The sequence below is a fragment of the Homo sapiens genome, chromosome 15, assembly GCF_000001405.40.
Source record: "Homo sapiens chromosome 15, GRCh38.p14 Primary Assembly".
NCBI lineage: Eukaryota > Metazoa > Chordata > Mammalia > Primates > Hominidae > Homo > Homo sapiens.
The window spans coordinates 41,238,633-41,258,299 of record NC_000015.10 but is presented as its reverse complement, the minus strand read 5'-3'; the positions used below and the strand labels follow the sequence as shown (position 1 = coordinate 41,258,299).

Here is a 19,667-nt window from a genome sequence, read left to right as displayed (position 1 = left end):
GGATATGTAAAAGAATGTCCCTATTCTTAGCAAACACACACTGGTGCATTCAGAGGTAAAGGGTCATTACTATGCAACTTACCCTGAAATAGTTCAGAAATACAATTATGTGAACACACATACACAAAAAAATTACATAAGTATGTGTATATACATACATGTATGTATGTGTATGTATGTACGTACATGTAGGCATGTATGTATGTATATACACACACACGTAGAGTATGTGTAGGTAGAGAGAGGGGAAAGAGAGAGGGAAAAAGTGTCTGCAAGAGAGGGTATGTAGAGTAAGCACGGGTGTACAAGCTGCGCTGTTCAATACTGCAGTCACTTGTCACATCTGGTTATGTGCACTGAAAACATGGTCAGTCTGACTTGATATGTGTTTAAGTGTAAATTACACACTGGATTTCAAGGACTTATTATGAAAAAATGTAGGCTGGGCATGGTGGCTCACGCCAGTAATCCCAGTACTTTGGGAGGCTGAGGCAGGCGGATCACCTGAGGTCAGGAGCTCAAGACCAGCCTGGCCAACATGGTGAAACCCTGTCTCTACTAAAAATACAAAAATTAGCCAGGTATGGTGGCATGTGGCTGTAATCCCAACTATCTCGGAGGCTGAGGCAGGAGAATCGCTTGAACCCGGGAGGCAGAGGTTGCAGTGAGCCGAGATGGCACCACTGTACTCCAGCCTGAGCGACCGAGCAAGACTCTGTCTTAAAACAAACAAACAAACGAAAAAAGGATCTCAGTTATTTTTAATATTGATTATATATGGAAATAATATTTTAAATATATTAAATAAAATATATATTACCAAAGTTAACTTATTTTTACTTTTTAAATGTGGTTACTAGAAAATGTAAAATTACGTATGTGGCTTGCATTATATTTTTATTGGCTACTACTAAGAAGAGAGCACACAAATGAGGCAAAATGTTAACAATATAACAGTAGATGCATCAGGGCAATAAATATACAAGTATTCTCCGAATTACTTTTAACTTTTGCAACTTTTTTGTAAATTTGAAATTATTTCCAAATAAACATTTTTTAAAAGTCTAGTTTTACATCAATGATAAACATAAGAATTTTGAAGATAGGCTCATATATCTATTTGAAGTTTAAAACACACAGGAGGGTAGAACAGAAGAGATATTCTAGAAATGACAAAATTAGAATTGCTCAATATAATCAGGGGGTATCACAGTCTGAGATGGCACAACCAATATCATTATTCCAGATTAGCAAATAATTTAGGTTGTGATAGCCTCAGGAAGGAAGTCCAACAACTGTACTGACTCACCCCTCTGGAAAGAAGGCATTGATGATCCGGTCCCCCAGTGGGTTGATGGCAAGTTCTGGAATCCTCTGGAAATCTTCCCGGCTGCCAAGAGAATCACCTTGAGTTAGATAGAGATCATTGCCCTTAGCATGAACTCCTTAAGTCAGGAGGTAACAGGGTGTAACCTAGCAAGAATATTACCTCCTGGAATTTACTTCTGTGGCAAATTATACCAAATAACTGCAAAGAATAGCACTTTAATAGCTGCCAAGTGTTTCTTGCACCAACTCAGAAGTGGAAGGAGCCAGATTTGATTACGCCACATTCCAGTGAATTTAGCACACAGGTTACGTCAATAAGCCAACTGATGGACAAATACTAAGCTGTCCCTTAGTAAATGATTTCTTGAACATTAGCATTGCGTACCTAGTTATTAAGTTTGGAAAGTGAACAGCAAATGGAAAGTATCAAATACTGCAGAACTTGAATATGGGGACAAACACTTAGAGGGGTCTCCATATCCTTGTTAAGATTTTTAGGCACTTACAAAATGCAAGGAATTCTTAGGTGCTATTTACATGCAAGGAAATAATGTGACAACCAATTGATTTCCTTGTTCTGACTCTGGCTTTTTCTCCATTTCCATGTTCTGTGGACTAGGGCTACAGAAGTATTTAACCCTCAAACATGACAAGAGCAGTCATCCTCACATGACTTAGGCGAGGTTATACCAAAGCGAATATTGTCAGTTACCATTCATCACATATATATCATGTGCTGCTCTGTTTACATACATTATTCTCATTTCTTCACGCCAATGTTTTATGTATACCCTTTTAGAGCTGAGGAAATTGAGAGTCAGGAAGATAAAGTAACTTGCCCAAAGCCACACTACTCCTAAGTAGCAGAACTGTGATTTAAATCTAAGTCTGTAAGTCAAAGTATGTGTTCTTTTTCTAAAAACCATATTTCTTTCCTATATTGAACTTTTTTTTGAGACAGAGTCTTGCTCAGTCACCCAGGCTGGAATGCAATGGCATGGTCTTGGCTCACTGCCACCTCCACTTCCCAGGTTCAAGCGATTCTCCTGCCTCAGCCTCCCAAGTAGCTGGGATTACAGGCACTCTCCACCACGCCTGGCTAGTTTTTTGTACATTTAGTAGAGACGGAGTTTCACCATGTTGGCCAGGCTGGTCTTGAACTCCTGACCTCAGGTGATCTGCCGGCCTCGGCCTCCCAAAGTGCTGGGTGGGATTACAGGAGTGAGCCACGGTGCCCAGCCCTAATATTGAACCTTTTGAATGAAAGTTACTCTCCCCCAAATTCTTTATTTTTATTTTTTTGAGATGGAGTTTCGCTCCCAGGCTGGAGTGTAGTGGCTTGATCTCTGGGTTCACTGCAACCTCCTCCTCCCGGGTTCAAGCGATTCTACTGCTTCAGTCTCCCAAGTAGCTAGCATTACAAGCGGGTGCTACCATGCCCGGCCAATTTTTGTATTTTTAGTAGAGGTGGGGTTTTACCACATTGGCCAGGCTGGTCTTGAACTCCTGACCTCAGGTGATCCACCCACCTCAGCCTCCCAAAGTCCTGGGATTACAGGCGTGAGCCACCGCACCCAGTCCCCCAATTTTTCAATAAGTATTTTTTAAAAACTTTCTTTTGTTGGTTCCTGGGCCAAGAATACAAAGCTGTCTACAACTTATCTGTGCTGCAGTCTTCAAAAATATCAATGTCATGGAGGACAAAGAAAAGCAGAGGATTGTTCCAGATCAAGGGGGGGCTAAAGAGACACACAACAAAACCCAACACATGATCCCGGACTAGGAAAAAAACTGCTATAAGGACATTATTGGATAATATGTGAAAATGAAGCATGGACCATATAAAATATGGAATATTACATAATGGTACTGTTTCAAAATGCAACTTTCTTGATTTTGATCTGAGAATGTCCTTTCTATAGGAAATAAACAGTGAAGTATGTGACAAAATGTTAACAATTGGTGAATCTGGGTATCAGAATAAAAGTTATCTTGTATTGTTCTTGTAACTTCAAGTTTAAAATTATTTCCAGATAAAAAGTTAAAAAAAAGATTATAAACTAGATTTTACTCCTGCCTTCAAGAAGTTTACTTACAGACAGATAAAATGTATACCTCCACCCTCTTTGTAATATATGCTAGCAAAGACGGAAGATAATAAAATACTCCTACTGTACCCAGGAGACTTCACGCTCTTTTCCTCTTGTGGTTTAACGTTTACGTGGTGCTTAATTAACTCAGCAAGCTCTTCTCCACCACATTTGGTGACACAGGTAGAAACTGACCTAGTGGACTGAACACAAAGCTCTGGAACAATCATCCTGGATTCTAGTCCTTCTTGACCATTTAGTGTAATAATTTTATATCAATGCATGAACCAGAAGAAGTCATTCATAAGATAACTGGATTGCTTAAGATGATGAAAGAGAAAATTACCGAGGTCCTGATTATTTAATTCAACAAACATGTACTAAGCTTTTATTACATAATTTGTTCTGTAATACAAAGTCTACACTATCATCAAAATGTAGCTCCTCCTGTCTGACAGAGGTCAAGAAACAATAACTACTCACTTTTAAATTAAGACTAAGGCTGATTTGAATTGCATGGCTACATACTTCAGTTTAATGTCTAACAAGCTTAAGAAACTTTAGCTGAGAAAAGGCAGTTTAAATACCAAGTCTAGTATCAAGTGGTGATGCACAACCTAGCCTGAACTTCAGTCTCAATAAGGAGGTGTACACTTGGCCTTCCGATGGACCTGTCCTTTGATACTTTCTAACTCTACTCTTAGAATTTAGATTGTATATATAATGTAGTTCCAGTCACCCAGATCAAGGACAGTATTGCTAAAAGTATTAAAGTTAAAAAGAAAGAGGGCTGGGTATGGCAGCTCAGCCTATAATCCCAGCACTTTTGGAGGCCAAGGTGGAAGAACTGCTTCAGGCTAGGAGTTCGAGACCAGCCTGGGCAACAGAGCAAGACCACATCTCTAAAAAGTTTAAAAAAAAAAAAAAAATTAGCCAGGCATGGTGGCACGTGCCTGTAGTCCCAGCTACTTGGGAAGCTGAAGCGGGAGGATTGTTTGAGCCTAGAAGGTCAAGGCTGCAAGGAGCCATGGTAACATCACTGCCCTCGAGCCTGGGTGACAGAGTGAGACCCTGTTTCAAAACAGAAAAAACAAAACAAACAGAAAGAGTATAAAAAATAATTTGTCAGCCGGGCGCAGTGGCTCACACCTGTAATCCCAGCACTTTGGGAGGCCGAGGCGGGAGGATCATGAGGTCAAGAGATGAAGACCAACCTGGCTAACACGGTGAAACCCCGTCTCTACTAAAAAAACAAAAAATTAGCTAGGCGTGGTGACGGGCACCTGTAGTCCCAGCTACTCGGGAGACTGAGGCAGGAGAATGGCATGAACCTGGGAGGTGGAGGTTGCAGTGAGCCAAGATTGCGCCACTGCACTCCAGCCTGGTGACAGAGCAAGACTCCGTCTCAAAATAAATAAATAAATAAATAAATAAATAAATAAATAAATAAATAAATACTTTGTCAACTGTTAAATAAATAATATACGAACAAGTTATTATTACTGGTTGCTTTATAGTAGAATGTAGATCTGGGCAGTTTCTCTAAAACTTAGATTCTCAAATTTACCCATCAACATAAACCTAATAGAAAAAAATAAATACTCCAAAGTGGCCTAAACACCACAAGCATAAGATCCATCCGAAGGCCGGGCACAGTGGCTCACGCCTGTAATCCCAGCACTTTGGGAGGCTGAGGCAGGTGGATCACGAGGTCAAGAGATCAAGACCATCCTGGCCAACATGGTGAAACCCCGTCTCTACTAAAAACACAAAAATTAGCTGGGCATGGTGGCGCGAGCCTGTAGTCCCAGCTACTCTGGAGGCTGAGAAAGGAGAATCACTTGAACCTGGGAGGTGGAGGTTGCAGTGAGCCAAGATTGCGCCACTGCACTCCAGCCTGGTGACAGAGTGAGACTCCATCTCAAAAAAAAAAAAAAAAAAAAAAAAAAAAAACCATGTGAAATACAGATTTGTGTGGATTCACTGAAAAGCATACCAACATTATGTTCTGCCTCATGGTATACCTAGGAAAACCTTCCTTGAAGATTTTTTTAGAAAAAGACAGTATCACTGGTAGTAGTCAATTCTGAGAACAGAGCCATGTACGATGGCATTCTTTGTGGCCAAGAAATTTCCAATGGGGAGTGGTTTTCCAAACATTCAAGGGCACAGGGATGCTTAGAAAAACCAGGGTTTTTAGACTGTTAGTAACCAGACATGCCATCCCTCTATACTGCTCACCTTCACTGTGCAAGTCCCTTCTCTTACAGAGAGATTCAGCCTCACAGGTAACTTCTATCTCAAGCACCCACAGGTTGTTGCTTTAGTTGACTTGTACATAATGAGGAGATTAAAATCTGTTAATAGGACATACCCACTGGAACACACATTCAATTAGAAAACACAGCTTTCCAGGCCGGGCGTGGTGGCTCACTCCTGTAATTCCAGCACTTTGGGAGGCCGAGGTGGGTGGATCATGAGGTCAGGAGTTAGACACGAGCCTGGCCAAGATGGTAAAACCCCGTCTCTACTAAAAATACAAAAATCAGACGGGCGTGGTGGCGGGTGCCTGTAATCCCAGCTACTTGGGAGGCTGAGGCAGAGAACTGCTTGAACCCGGGAGGCGGAGGTTGCAGTCAGCCAAGATTGTACCACTCCAGCCTGGGCAACAGAGCGAGACTCTGTCTCAAAAAAAAAAAAGAAAAGAAAATACAGCTTTCCATTTTAAGTAGTATGAGAGGTTAAGCATATGGTACAACATATTTATTAACACTGAAATGACAAAAATTTCCATTAGCTAAAGCACTTAATCAGTATTTTTAAATTAAATGGATAAGATGGCCAGGCGTGGTGGTTGACGCCTATAATCCCAGCACTTTGGGAGGCCAAGGTGGGCAGATCGCCTGAGGTCAGGAGTTTGAGACCAGCCTGACCAATATGGAGAAACCCTGTCTCTATTAAAAATACAAAATAAGCCAGGCATAGTGGCATGTGCCTGTAATCCCAACCCAGGAGTCCGAGACCAGCCTGGGCAACATAGGGAAACCCTGTCTCTAATTAAAAAAAAAAAAAAAAAGGCAGCTGGCAGCGATCCCCAGCCTTTTTGGGACCAGGGACCAGTTTTATGGAAAATAATTTTTCTCCTGGGGGTAGACAGGATAGTTTCAGGATGACACTGTTCAACCTCAGATCAGCAGGCATTAGATTCTCATAAGGAGCACTCAGTCTAGATCCCTCACATGGGCAGTTCACAATAGGGTTTCTGTTCCTATGAGAATCTAGTGCCGCCACTGATCTGACCGGAGGCGGTGCTCAGGTGATAATGCTCACTTGCATTCTGTTCACCTCCTGCTGTGTAGCCCGGTTCCTAACTGGCCACAGACTGGTACTGGTCTGCAACCCAGAGGTTGGGGACCCCAGGGGTCCTAAAGTGGTCTTTTGCAGGTCAGGTTAAGGTAAGAGCCTGGTCAGTATCTGAACACAAAGATGGTTTCTCTTCTTTAAATATTCTTTGTTCTGATGTAATCTATGGAGTTACAAGGCAGGATAATGATTACCCTTTGGGGAGGGGAGCAGGTAAAGACAAAAGGAGCATAAGGGAAGCTTCTGGGTATTGGTAATAATCAGTTTCTTCATCTGGAGGCTGGATAGTCTTCCCTTGGTGAAAATTTATCATGTCCAATGCTTTTGATTTGTGCACTTTTCTGTATGTTATACTTCAATAAAGTTTGCTTTAAAAACATCCTCTGGGCCAGGCACAGTGGCTCACACCTGTAATCCTAGCACTTTGGGAGGCTGAGGTGGGTGGGTCACAAGGTCAAGAGATCGAGACCATCCTGGCCAACATGGTGAAACCCGTCTCTACTAAAAATAAAAAAATTCACTGGGCGTGGTAGTGCACGCCTATAATTGCAGCTACTCTGGAGGCTGAGGCAGGAGAATCACTTGAACCCGGAAGCGGTGAACTTGGCTGCAGTGAGCCGAGATTGTGCCTCTGCACTCCAGCCTGGTGACAGAGCGAGACTCTGTCTCAAAAAAAAAAAAAGAAAGAAAGAAAGAAAGTCTTAAATATCTCCTCTTGATATTCTGAAATTTCATCTATATATATCTTATTGTGAAGTATTCTTTATTATTCATTGTTCAGCATTAGGTGAACCTTCTTAGACTAAAAATGGGCCCTTTAGCTGGGAAGTTTGCTTCTGTTCCTTTTTTTTTTTTTTGGTAAGAAACCTCACCTGGATTTTGTTCCTATTTTAAAAATTATTTCTTCTCCTCCTCTTTATTATTTATTTATTTATTATTTATTTATTTTTGAGATGGAATTTCACTCTTACTGCCCAGGCTGGAGTGCAATGGCATGATCTTGGCTCACTGCAACCTCCGCCTCCCGGGTTCAAGCGATTCCCCTGCCTCGGCCTCCCAAAGTGCTGGGATTACAGGCATGAGCCACTGCGCCTGGCCTAAGCTGCCTTTTTAGAAAAAACAATCTCTATGGCAATGGTAGAAATATCTTACCCAAAATAATGGCATCTGAAGAAAGTAAGGTTTATAAGGTTACAGTGTATATTTATATTCCGTGAAATATCAATCTGAAGAGATGGTCCATGTAAAAAGGCAGACAGGGAAATTGCAAATCAATTTGGCAAACACTTCTCCCTTGAATGTTCCCAATTCACCCAGGTAAATTAAAGATGTGGTGAAATCTAGTAATTAGGTAGCCTATTTAACCTTGTTGACCAAGGTTTTCACAAATTTTAGTCAATAACTTTTTGCTTTTTTTTTTTTTTTTTAACATAACACCTATTGATAGACCAAGGAATGACTGTTCTATAAAGCATGCTTCGGAGTGAGTCTCTGAAAGCACTCTGAAGAAGCTCCATTCTAACCAAAGCCTTCCACAGTTCTGCCTTATGTTCCACTGGAGCTGATCACTACAAAGGAATGCAGAATGCCCCAGACTGTACACTGTAGCCTCTCACTCTGCAGAATTTGGCTTCAGGCCCAGACATGGAGCACCTTGAAAGAGGAAAGTAAAAAAAAAAAAAAAAAATTGTTGAAGTGAAAATCTTTCTCCTAATAACTACAACTGCCTTCTTAAGGTGAAGGCGAGGCCGGGCGCAGTGGCTTACGCCTGTAATCTTAGCACTTTGGGAGGCCAAGGCAGGTGGATCACAAGGTCAGGAGATCAAAACCATCCTGGCTAACACAGTGAAACCCCGTCTCTACTAAAAATACAAAAAATTAGCTGGGTGTGGTGGCGGGCACCTGTAGTCCCAGCTACTCGGTTGGCTGAGGCATGAGAATGGCATGAACCCGGGAGGCGGAGGTTGCAGTGAGCCGAGATCGTGCCACTGCACTCCAGCCTGGACGACAGAGCGAGACTCCATCTCAAAAAAAAAAAAAAAAAAAAAAAAAAAAGAAGGTGAAGGCCAGGCATGGTGGCACACATCTGTAGTCCCAGCACTTTGGGAGACTGAGGCAGGCAGATGGTTTGAGTTCAGGAGTTCGAGACCAGTCATGGGGAACATGGCGAGACCTCCTCTCTACAAAAAATACAAAAGTTAGCCAGGCAGTGACACGTGCCTGTAGTCCCAGCTACTCAGGAGGCTGAGGTGGGAGGCTACAGTGAGCCGTGATGGTGCCACTGCAATCAAGCCTGGGCAATAGAGTCAGACCCTGTCTCAAAAACAAAAACCAAAAAAAGAAGGTGGAAGCTGTTCCAGGTAACAAAAGATTGGAAGCCACTTGTATTCGGATGAGCACTCTGATGGGTCCTGGAAACATCAAGACAGGCCTTAAGCTGAGTTTGGCAACAAAGGCTGGAGAGAACTGGATCATTCTACTAGAGAAGAGTTCCCAGTTAGGCCAACTCATTTCTAAGGCTAGAGGGGGTAGAAGAGGAGAGGGCTGAGAGAAGGGGAAGACAATTTAATCGGATGGCCACAGGCTAAGAAGATAATTGTCAGGAGGCACAGCCAGAGTGAAATCCCAGTAGTGGGTGGGTCTGACAAAACGATTTACATAAAATATATTACTCGTTTACTATGTGGCACATTATGTGGTACAATTGGCTAATTTCTTCTAGGTATTCAAGGTAGCTTGGTGCTTCTCTCATTTATTTTTATTTTTTGTAGAGACGGGGTTTCACTATGTTGCTCAGGCTGGTCTTGAGACTCCGGGCCTCAAGGAATCCTCTCACCTCAGCCTCCCAAAGTGCTGGGATTACAGGCATGAGTCTCCTCGCCCAACCTTTCTTATATTTCAATCCACACCATGATAGAGATCAAAGAACAGGTTTAAGACCTAGAGCTTTCAGGCCAGGTACAGTGGCTTATGCCTATAATCCCAGTACTTTGGGAGGCCATGGCGGGAGGACTGATGGAGCCCAGGAGTTTGAGACCAGCATGGGCAACAAGGTGAGACTGTGTCTCCACAAAAAATGAAAATAAAATAAAAATAACAGGAGAAGCACCAAGCTACCTTGAATACCTAGAAGAAACTATTCCATTGTACCACATAATGTGCGCTTTTTTGCTTTTTTGCTAAAAGTAAAAAGAAAAAAAAATTAGCCAGGCATAGTGATGCATGCCTGTAGTCCTAGCTACTTGGGCAGCTGAGGTGGGAGAACTGTCTGAGCCCAGGAGGTTGAGGTTGCAGTGAGCTGTGATGGTGCCATTACACTCCAGCCTAGGAGACAGAGTGCGACCCTGTCTCTTACAAAAAAAAAAAAAATATTGCCAGCATGGAGAACAGTGTCTGGCACATCATAGATAGTCAGTAAATACCTACCAAATGAGTGAGCTAGTCTGCTGGTTTTCCACAGGCTGTGAAATGGTAACTTACAGATTGAGCAAATCTTACTTAGATACTTATTTATTTATTTATTTATTTTATTTATTTATTTTTTTATTTGAGACGGAGTCTTGCTCTGTCGCCCAGGCTGGAGTATGGTGGTGTGATCTCGGCTCACTGAAAGCTCCGCCTCCCGGGTTCACACCATTCTCCTGCCTCAGCCTCCCGAGTAGCTGGGACTACAGGTACCCACCACCACTCCCAGCTAATTTTTTGTATTTTTAGTAGAGACGGGGTTTCACTGTGTTAGCCAGGTTGGTCTTCTCTTGACCCCATGATCTGCCTGCCTCGGCCTCCCAAAGTGCTGGGATTACAGGCGTGAACCACCGCGCCCGGCCCTATTTATTTATTTATTTTAAGATGGAGTCTTGCTCTGCTGCCCAGGCTGGAGTGCAGTGGCACGATCTCGGCTCACTGCAACCTCCACCTCCCGGGTTCAAGTGATTCTCCTGCCTCAGCCTCCCAAGTAGCTGGGATTACAGGCGTGCGCCACCACACCTGGTTAATTTTTTTGTATTTTTAGTAGAGACGGGGTTTTACCATGTTGGCCAGCCTGGTCTCGAACTCCTGACCTCAGCTGATCCACCCATCTCGGCCTCCCAAAGTGCTGGGATTACAAGAGTGAGCCACCACAACCGGCCAGAATTTTTTTTTTTTTTAAAGGCAGGATCTCACTGTGTTGCCCAGGGTGCAGGGCAGTGCTGCAATCTTGGTTCACTACAACCTCCGCCTCCCGGGTTCAAGCAATTTTCCTGCCTCAACCTCCCAAGTACCTGGAATTCCAGGCATGCGCCACCACACCCAGCTAATTTTTGTATTTTTCGTAAAGATGGTGTTTCACCATGTCGGCCAGGCCGATCTCAAACTCCTGGCCTCAAGTGATCCACCTGCCTTGGCCTCCCAAAGTGCTGGATTACAGCCAGGTGTAAGCCACTGCGCTTGGCCCTTACTTAGATTTTAAGGAGCAGGCTACACTGACGCCTGGAAAGTTTTCAACATTTTTTTTTTTTTTTTGAGACAGAGTCTCGCTCTGTAGCCCATGGTCTCGACCTCCTGACCTTGTGATCCGCCCGTCTCAGCCTCCCAAAGTGCTGGGATTACAGGTGTGAGCCACCACACCCGGGCTTTTTTTTAATTTTTTGAGATGGAGTCTAGCTGTGTCTCCCAGGCTGGAGTGCAGTAGCGTGATCTCGCCTCCCAGGTTCAAGTGATTCTCCTACCTCAGCCTCTCGAGTAGCTGGGACTACAGGCGCCTGCCACCACGCCCAGCTAATTTTTTGTATTTTTAATAGAGACGGGGTTTCACTGCGTTAGCCAGGCAGGTGCATCACGAGGTCAGGATATCGAGACCATGGGCTACAGAGCGAGACTCTCTCTCAAAAAAAAAAAAAAAAAAAAAAAAAAGCTTTTTGGCCAGGCACGGTGGCTCGCACCTTTAATCCCAGCACTTTGGGAGGCCAAGGCGGGTGGATCACGAGGTCAGGAGTTTGAGACCAGCCTGGCCAAGATGGTGAAACCCCGTTTCTACTAAAAATACAGAAATTAGCAGGGCGTGGTGTCATGCGCCTGTAATCCTAGCTACTCAGGAAGCTGAGGCAGGAGAATCACTTGAACCCGGGAGGCAGAGGTTGCAGTGAGCCGAGATCACACCATTGCACTCCAGCCTGGCCAACAAGAGTGAAACTCCATCTTAAAAAAAAAAGAAACAGCTCATTAAAAAAAAAACTTTTCGATTATTTTCCAGCACACAGCAAACATGATAAAAACACACACATTTAGAAACCACCCACTTTCTACAAAGAAGAAAAGAACTCAGAATATAAATTTTAAGTCTTTACTGGGTGGTTAAGTCTGAATTTATGAGGCAAGTATAAACTCAAAGGAATTTTTAAGTATTGGAGCTAAAATTACAAATAGGGATTTCTAGTCTAGTTATTTTTCAAGTGTAAATTCACATAGTTTTAATAGCGTCTTCAACGAATGGTGCTGGTACAACTGGATATCCACATGCAAAAAAAAATGATGTTGGACTCTTCTCTGACACCATATACAAAACCAACTCAAAATAAATCAAAAGACCTTAATATAAGAACTAAAACCATAAAGCCCTTACAAGAAGATATAGGATAAGCCTTTGGGACACTGGATTTGGCAATGGTTTCTTATATATGATACCAAAAGCACAAGCACTGAAAGAAATATTAAAGAAACTGGACTTCATCAAAATTAAAAACTTTTGTGCTTTAAAGAACACTACAAAGAGAGTGAAAAGACAACTCATATGACCCACCATTCCACTCCTAGGTATACGTCCAAGAGAAATTAAAACATATGTGCACCCAAAAATGTTTAAAGCAACACTATTTGCAATACTCAAAAGGTGTAAACTCAAATGTTTACTAACTGCTGAATGGATACACAAATGTGGCATATCCATATGACAGACTATTTATTCAGCCATAAAAAGGAATGAAGTACTGGTATATGCTACATCATGGATGAACCTTAAAAACATCATGTTAAGTAGAAGAAGTCAGTTTGTTTGTTTGAGACAAAGTCTCTCTCTGTCGCCCAGGCTGGAATACAGCAGCACAATCTGGGCTCACTGCAACCTCCACCTCCCAAGTTCAAGCAATTCTCCTGCCTCAGCCTCCTGAGTAGCTTGGATTACAGGCGCCCACCACCACGCACAGGCGCCCACCACCACGCCACGCTAATTTTTGTATTTTTAATAGAGACGGGGTTTCCCCATGTTGGCCAGCCTGGTCTCGAACTCCTGATCTCAGGTGATCCGCCCGCCTTGGCCTCCCAAAGTGCTAGAATTACAGGCATGAGCCACCGTGTCCAGCCAGAAGAAGTCAGTTATGAGAGGGCCATATAATTCCATTTATATGAATTGTCCAGAGAGAAAAAGAAGGTAGATTTATGGTTGCCAGGGGATGAGAGAAGGGGGAAATACGTATGCTTAATAGGTATGCTTAACCCCATGCTTAATGAGTATGGGGTTTCCATTTGGGGTGATGATTACGTCCAAAGGCTTAGCAACTGTATTCCTTCCCCCTTTATGCTACATCCAACACCTGTGCTAGAAACTTTCTAAAGAAGTCCTAAGCTGCTTCATGCCAGCCAAAAGGAAGGGCAACAGCTTCATTACATGCCAATCAAAGATGAAGAACCACAGCATAAGAAAGGTTGCTACTGAGAGTTAGTGTGGGAGATAATGGTAAAGAATATTTCATTTGATTATGGTAAGACAATTACAAACATAAAACAATATAGCATTACATCACTCTGATATCATATACTTACCTAGACCAGAGTTTCTCAATTTTGGCACTACCGACATCTAGACCAGAATAATTATTTGTCATGGGGGCTGTCCTGTGCACTGTAGGATGTTTAGCAGCATCTCTGGCCACAACCCACTAGGCACTAGTAGCATTCTCCAGTCATGGCAATTAAAAATGTTTCCAGACATTTTGCCCCAGGTGGCAAAATGGCCCTCAGATGAGAACCACTGCTCTAGACTAACATACTGAACATTTTGTCCAACATTAATATACATAAAGTGATGTACCTCAGGGTTATGGGTTGGTAAATAAAAGAAGACAAAACAACCTAGACCACCTGGGATCGCTATGGGTCAACTTCCTAAAAGCCAATGTTTGGGAAAGGATTATGGGAAAATGTAAGCAGAGAGAGCTGAAATCTTAAAAATACATTCCTAGAATCAGAACAATGGCCACCTAAATTAAGGGGAGTTGGAATAAAGCAACACACATCTGTTAATGCATTTAATTGTCATAGTTCCGCTGTTTTTTTTTTTTTTTTTAGATGGAGTCTTGCTCTGTTGCCGAGGCTGGAGTGCAGTGGCGTGATCTTTGCTCACTGCGACCTCTGCCTCCCGGGTTCAAGCAATTCTCCTACCTCAGCCTCCTGAGTAGCTGGGATTACAGGCGCCTACCACCACACTGAGCTAATTTTTGTATTTTTAGTAGAGACGGGGTTTCACCATGTTGGTCAGGCTGGTCTGGACCTCCTGGCCTCATGATCCGCCCGCCTTGACCTCCCAAAGTGCTGGGATTAAGGCGTGAGCCACCGCGCCCAGCCTGTTCTGCTGATTTAATTCTCTTGTGGATCAATGATGCTCAAAGACCAGTAGAGAAATGGTCCTTGCTATCTGCATGCTGGATGTCTATCATGTCTACCCTAGGGATAAAGGCAGCTATTCAGACACTGCCAGAGGGTTTCTGGTTTCTGTGAGGAAAATAAAGAAAAACACTGCCTACCTGAGAGTCCCATTCTCTCCTTTGTCCAGGCTGGTGAACCGGCTGTAGAGGCGAGTGATTTGACTGTGGGAAACTAAAGAGCACAAAATTAGTCCCAGCTCGGGGGAAGTAGCCCTCATTCACACTGAACCCACCCCTCGCTGTCAAATGCTTCAAAATTCAGTAGGACTGGGATGTCGAAACTCTTATCTCTAGAATGTTAAAGCAGAAAGTTTAAAAGCTAAAGAATGAAAGGAGTTAGAGAATAAACTAAATCAAGGGCAATCAAAATTCAATCCCAGGAATGAAGTCTAGGCTTAATTAAGACTGTGATGAATATTAGATGGTTAAGATTTAACAAAACAAAGGCAAATTTTGTCCTGTCCTGTCCTGTCCTATCCTATCCCATCCTATTTTACTGAGACAAAGTTTTGCTCTTGTCACCCAGGCTGGAGTGCAGTGGCACGATCTCACTCACTGCCACCTCTGCCTCCCGGGTTCAAGCAACTCTCCTGCCTCAGCCTCCCGAGTAGCTGGGATTACAGGCTTCCGCCACCACACCCAGCTAATTTTTTGTATTTTTAGTAGAGACGGGGTTTCGCCATGTTGGCTAGGCTGGTCTTGAACTCCTGACCTCAGGTGATCCACTCGCCTCAGCCTCCCAAACTGCTGGGATTATAGGTGTGAGCCACCATGCCCAGCCCAAATTTAGTTTAAAAGGAAGCTGTGAAACTTTGAAGTTTCAATGCCCTGACTTAGAGGCTAAGAAAATGTATGTTTTTACTGTATTTATTTTTTTACTTTTTTCTTTTTTTCTGAGATGGGGTTTCACTCTCGTTGCCCAGGCTGGAGTGCAATGGCACAATCTTGGCTCACTGCAACCTCTGCCTCTCGTGTTCAAGCGATTCTCCTGCCTCAGCCTCCCAAGTAGCTGGGATTACAGGCGCCCACCACCATGCCCAGCTAATTTTGTATTTTTAGTAGAGACAGGGTTTTGCCATGTTGACCAGGATGGTCTTGAACTCCTGACCTCAGGTGATCCACCTGCCTCAGCCTCCCAAAGTGCTGGGATTACAGGCATGAGCCACCATGCCCGGCCTATTTTGCTTATTTTTTAAATTTTATTTTATTTTATTTTTGGGGGACAGAGCCTCAACTTTGTCGCCCAGGCTGGAGTGCAGTGGTACAATCTCAGCTCACTGTAACCTCCACCTCCTGGGTTCAAGCGATTCTCGTGCCTCAGTCTCCCAAGTAGCTGGGATTACAGGCATGAGCCACAGTTCCAGCTAAAAAATGCATGTTTTGATTGAAAAAATATCCATGATCAGTTTGCTGTTTCAGGCTGTACTGCTAGGTAGGTGTACGGCTAGGTAGGTGATGTGTACGGCTAGGTAGGTGTTGGGTGTACAATATTTGATTGGGGTACATCAAACAGATTCTATTTTAAAACTCTGGTTTACTCCTACACCAAGCATTAAAGGCTTTATCTTTTCCCTTGGAAAACATAAAGATCAACCTCTTTTCTGTGATGGCATGAGCTTCACTGAGTTCCCAGGAAGGGAACTGGCTCCAAGGAAGCAAATTAGGCAAATTCGTAAAATGGTCATGCTATCATCAGATGACATCTACCAGAAAGCTATTTTGCTCCTCATTTTGGATTTAGTCCATAAACTCAAGATACAAGTTGACAATTAAAATGAGGCAATAATGGCAGGTACATAATAATACTAAAAACTCAAAAAGGCCTTTCTGGGAAATAGTTTAGTCTCCTGATAGATTGGAAGTAAGAGAGGGGAAACAAACAGAGGAGAAAAGACAACAGCCAAAAAGGGTGTGACAAGTGTGGACTTTGTCCGAGGCTGTACCTTCAGAGGTTTAAAGGGGTGGCCAAAGTCATTCAGATAAGGTGTCCTCCTCCCTCAGCTCATGAAACAAAAATGTACTTGTAGTGTTGGGAACAATGGGACAAAGTGAACAGGGACAAGCAGGTAGTGAGTGGCCCAGAGCTGGGATAAGAGGACACACTATGTGTGGCTGTGAATTCTTCAGCATCAGGTTTCACCCTCGAAGCTGGGCTCTGTTCTGTCCTAGTGCTCTAAAGTGATCACTGAGCAGAGAAGGCAAAAGCATTTCCATCGGGGCAGAGCCAGCAGGGATCCAGCCACTAAGGAGACAGTTGTGGACTGTTTTGCCAGCCGGACAGGTATAAATGGCTCACTGTAAAGTGTACACACTTGTGAGGGTTAGGCAGACAGATTCTGATTCCATTGCTAGCACCATGGCTTACCAGAGAGAGGTAAGTGAATGGGATTGTAGAGCGAACTCACCAGTCAATGAAAGGAAAATGCTTGGCAAAGTGCCAGGCACATGGCAAGCACTCCAGATTAGCTATTATCAGCATCATGCTTACATCCTGAGCCTGAAGGCACAAGTATTACTGCTGCACTAATTACTCTCCATTTCCCTCCTGACTTTGCCAGTTACAACCGTTTTCTTTAAGAACTTGACCAGTCTATCCCAGTTCTGGCCTCAGGCCTCAAAGGCTATTCTTGTACTAAAGTTCCCTTTAGTTTAACAAAAATAAGTCAGTTAAAGAATTACTAAATTTCAGGCTGGGCGCAGTGGCTCACGCCTGTAATCTCAGCACTTTGGGAGGCCAAGGCGGGCGGATGCTGAGGAAAAGAGATCGAGACCATCCTGGCCAACATGGCGAAACCTCGTCTCTACTAAAAATACAAAAATCTGCTGGGTGTGGTGGCGTCTGCCTCTAGTCCCAGCTACTTGGGAAGCTGAGGCAGGAGAATCACTTGAACCAGGGAGGCGAAGGTTGCAGTGAGCGGAGATCACGTCACTGCACTCCAGACTGGTGACAGAACAAGACTCTGTTTCAAAAAAAAAAAGAATTACTAAGTTTCCCAAAAGATTTTTTGAAAAAAACAAAATTTGTTCACAATCCCAACACTGCCATTTTCATTTCTTCATAGATCTTTTTTTTTTTTTTTTTTTTGAGATAGAGTTTCGCTCTTCTTGCCCAGGCTGGAGCGCAATGGCACAATCTTGGCTCACCACAACCTCCGCCTTCTGGGTTCCCGTGATTCTCCAGCCTCAGCCTCCCAAGTAGCTGGAATTATAGGCATGCGCCACCACACCCAGCTAATTTTGTATTTTTAGTAGAGACAGGGTTTCTCCATGTTGGTCAGGCTGGTCTTAAACTCCCAACCTCGGGTGATCCACTCACCTCGGCCTCCCAAAGTGCTGGGATTACAGGCATGAGCCACCGCGCCCAGCTCTTCATATATCATCTAATATCAGTTACTCGTGTACTTTACAAAGTTGTAATAGCTTGCTTTTCATTTAGTAATTCATACTTTTTCTATATTGCTTTGGAGTCCTTCTTTATCCAATTTATATAATTTTAAAATTGGTAGAAATGTTATCTAATCCGACCCCTTCAATGAACAAATGAGAGCCAGGCATGATGGCTGGCGCCTATAATCCCAGCACTTCCAGAGGCAGAAGCAGGACAATGATTTGAGGCCAGGAGTTCAAGACCAGGCTGGGGAACAAAATAAAAATAAAAATAAAAAATAAAATTATTTTAAACCAAAAAAATCCACAAATGAGCCATTAAACATCTTTCTAATCTATATCATCTAAAATAACTGGGCACTGAGGCTGGGCGTGGTGGCTCACACCTGTAATCCCAGCTGTAATCCCAGCACTTTGGGAGGCCGAGGCGGGCGGATCACGAGGTCAGGAGATTGAGACCATCCTGGCTAACACGGTGAAACCCTGTCTCTACTACAAATACAAAAAATTAGACGGGCGTGGTGGCAGGCACCTGTAGTCCCAGCTACTCGGGAGGCTGAGGCAGGAGAATGGTTTGAACCTGGGAGGCGGAGCTTGCAGTGAGCTGAGATTGCGCCACTGCACTCCAGCCTGGGTGACAGAGAGGAGACTCTGTCTCGAAAAAATAAATAAATAAAAAAGAAATAAAATAACTGGGCACTGAAACCTCCTATAGTATGTTAAGACCAGTTTATGGCTGCTTAAATTCAAAATGTGGCAAGGCCTGGTGGCTCAAGCCTGCAATACCAGCACTTTGGGGGGCTGAGGGCGGGCAGATCACCTGTGGCCAAGAGTTCAAGACCAGCCTGGCCAACATGGTAAAACCCTGTCTCTACTAAAAATACAAAAATTAGCCAGGTGTGGTGGTATAATCCCAGCTACTTGGGAGGCTGAGGCAGGAGAATCGCTTGATCCTGGGAGATGGAGGTTGCAGTGAGCTGAAATCTCACCACTGCACTCCAGCCTGGGCGACAGAGTGAGACTCCGCCTCAAAACAAAACAAAACAAAACAAACGATAACAAAAAATAATGTACTAATATGTTAAAAATAAATAATGTAAATAAGTAGCCAAAACATTAAAAAAAAAAAAACTATCTTCCAGGACGAACTGGGTTATATGGGAGTCAGTGGAGAAACATACAACCAAATGTCAACTTTTAATACTAATCAATATGGTCATATCTAAACTTATCTCCAAAATTTTAGAACAAATTTTAGAACCATAACGATATGGTTACAAGTAATTTTGTTAACAAAAAGAAGGAGAGAAGGCTTTAATTTAGGTACTAAATTCACTGTGACAAAGAATATAAAGCAATCTCAGAACAATCCCAATCTACCTATAAAGGAGCTACACCATCCATGTGTAGAAAGGTACTGGAACTGGTGTGAATGAAGGCAGATCATGTTTCCAGTGAAGTATTTTCCCCAGAAGGCTCTAAGCTAGTCAGATAGGTGCCCAAAACCTGCACAATTCTTGGTAACCCAAAGGAAATAACAGGAGTTGACAGTTACTCTCAGAGAAGGCCGTGCATATAAACGTGTCTTTTTTCTTTTTTTGAGATGGAGGCTTGCTTTGTCACCCAGGATGGAGTGCAGTGGCGCGATCTTGGCTCACTGCAAACTCTGCCTCCCAGGTTCAGGCCATTCTCCTGCCTCAGCCTCCTGAGTAGCTGCGACTACAGGTACCTGCCACCACCATGCCTGGCTAATTTTTTTTTTTTTTTGTATTTTTAGTAGAGACCAGGTTTCACCGTGTTAGCCAGGATGATCTCGATC

General features: G+C 43.3%; 1 protein-coding gene across 4 annotated transcripts in view, besides 1 other annotated feature; it reads right to left on the bottom strand.

Moving 5' to 3' along the window:
• CHP1 (calcineurin like EF-hand protein 1) overlaps positions 1–19,667 on the bottom strand; it is a 50,620-nt gene that overhangs the window by 23,588 nt on the left and 7,365 nt on the right. For 2 of the 4 annotated variants that reach the window (NM_007236.5, XM_017021879.3), the window contains exons 2-3: positions 14,561–14,633; positions 1,310–1,390 (exon numbers count right to left, since the gene is read on the bottom strand). In NM_007236.5, coding sequence (NP_009167.1) covers positions 1,310–1,390; positions 14,561–14,633 — 154 coding nt within the window. Of the gene's footprint in view, positions 1–1,309; positions 1,391–1,489; positions 1,601–14,560; positions 14,634–19,667 lie in introns of those variants that run through there. The other 2 variants (XM_047432124.1, XM_047432125.1) reach the window with 2 other exon arrangements.
• Positions 9,203–9,403: a silencer, noted in NCBI's record as "peak2306 fragment used in MPRA reporter construct". NCBI's record gives its function as "represses an SCP1 promoter by STARR-seq MPRAs in K562 erythroleukemia cells {active_cell/tissue: K562}" and the evidence as "EXISTENCE:reporter gene assay evidence [ECO:0000049][PMID:32103011]".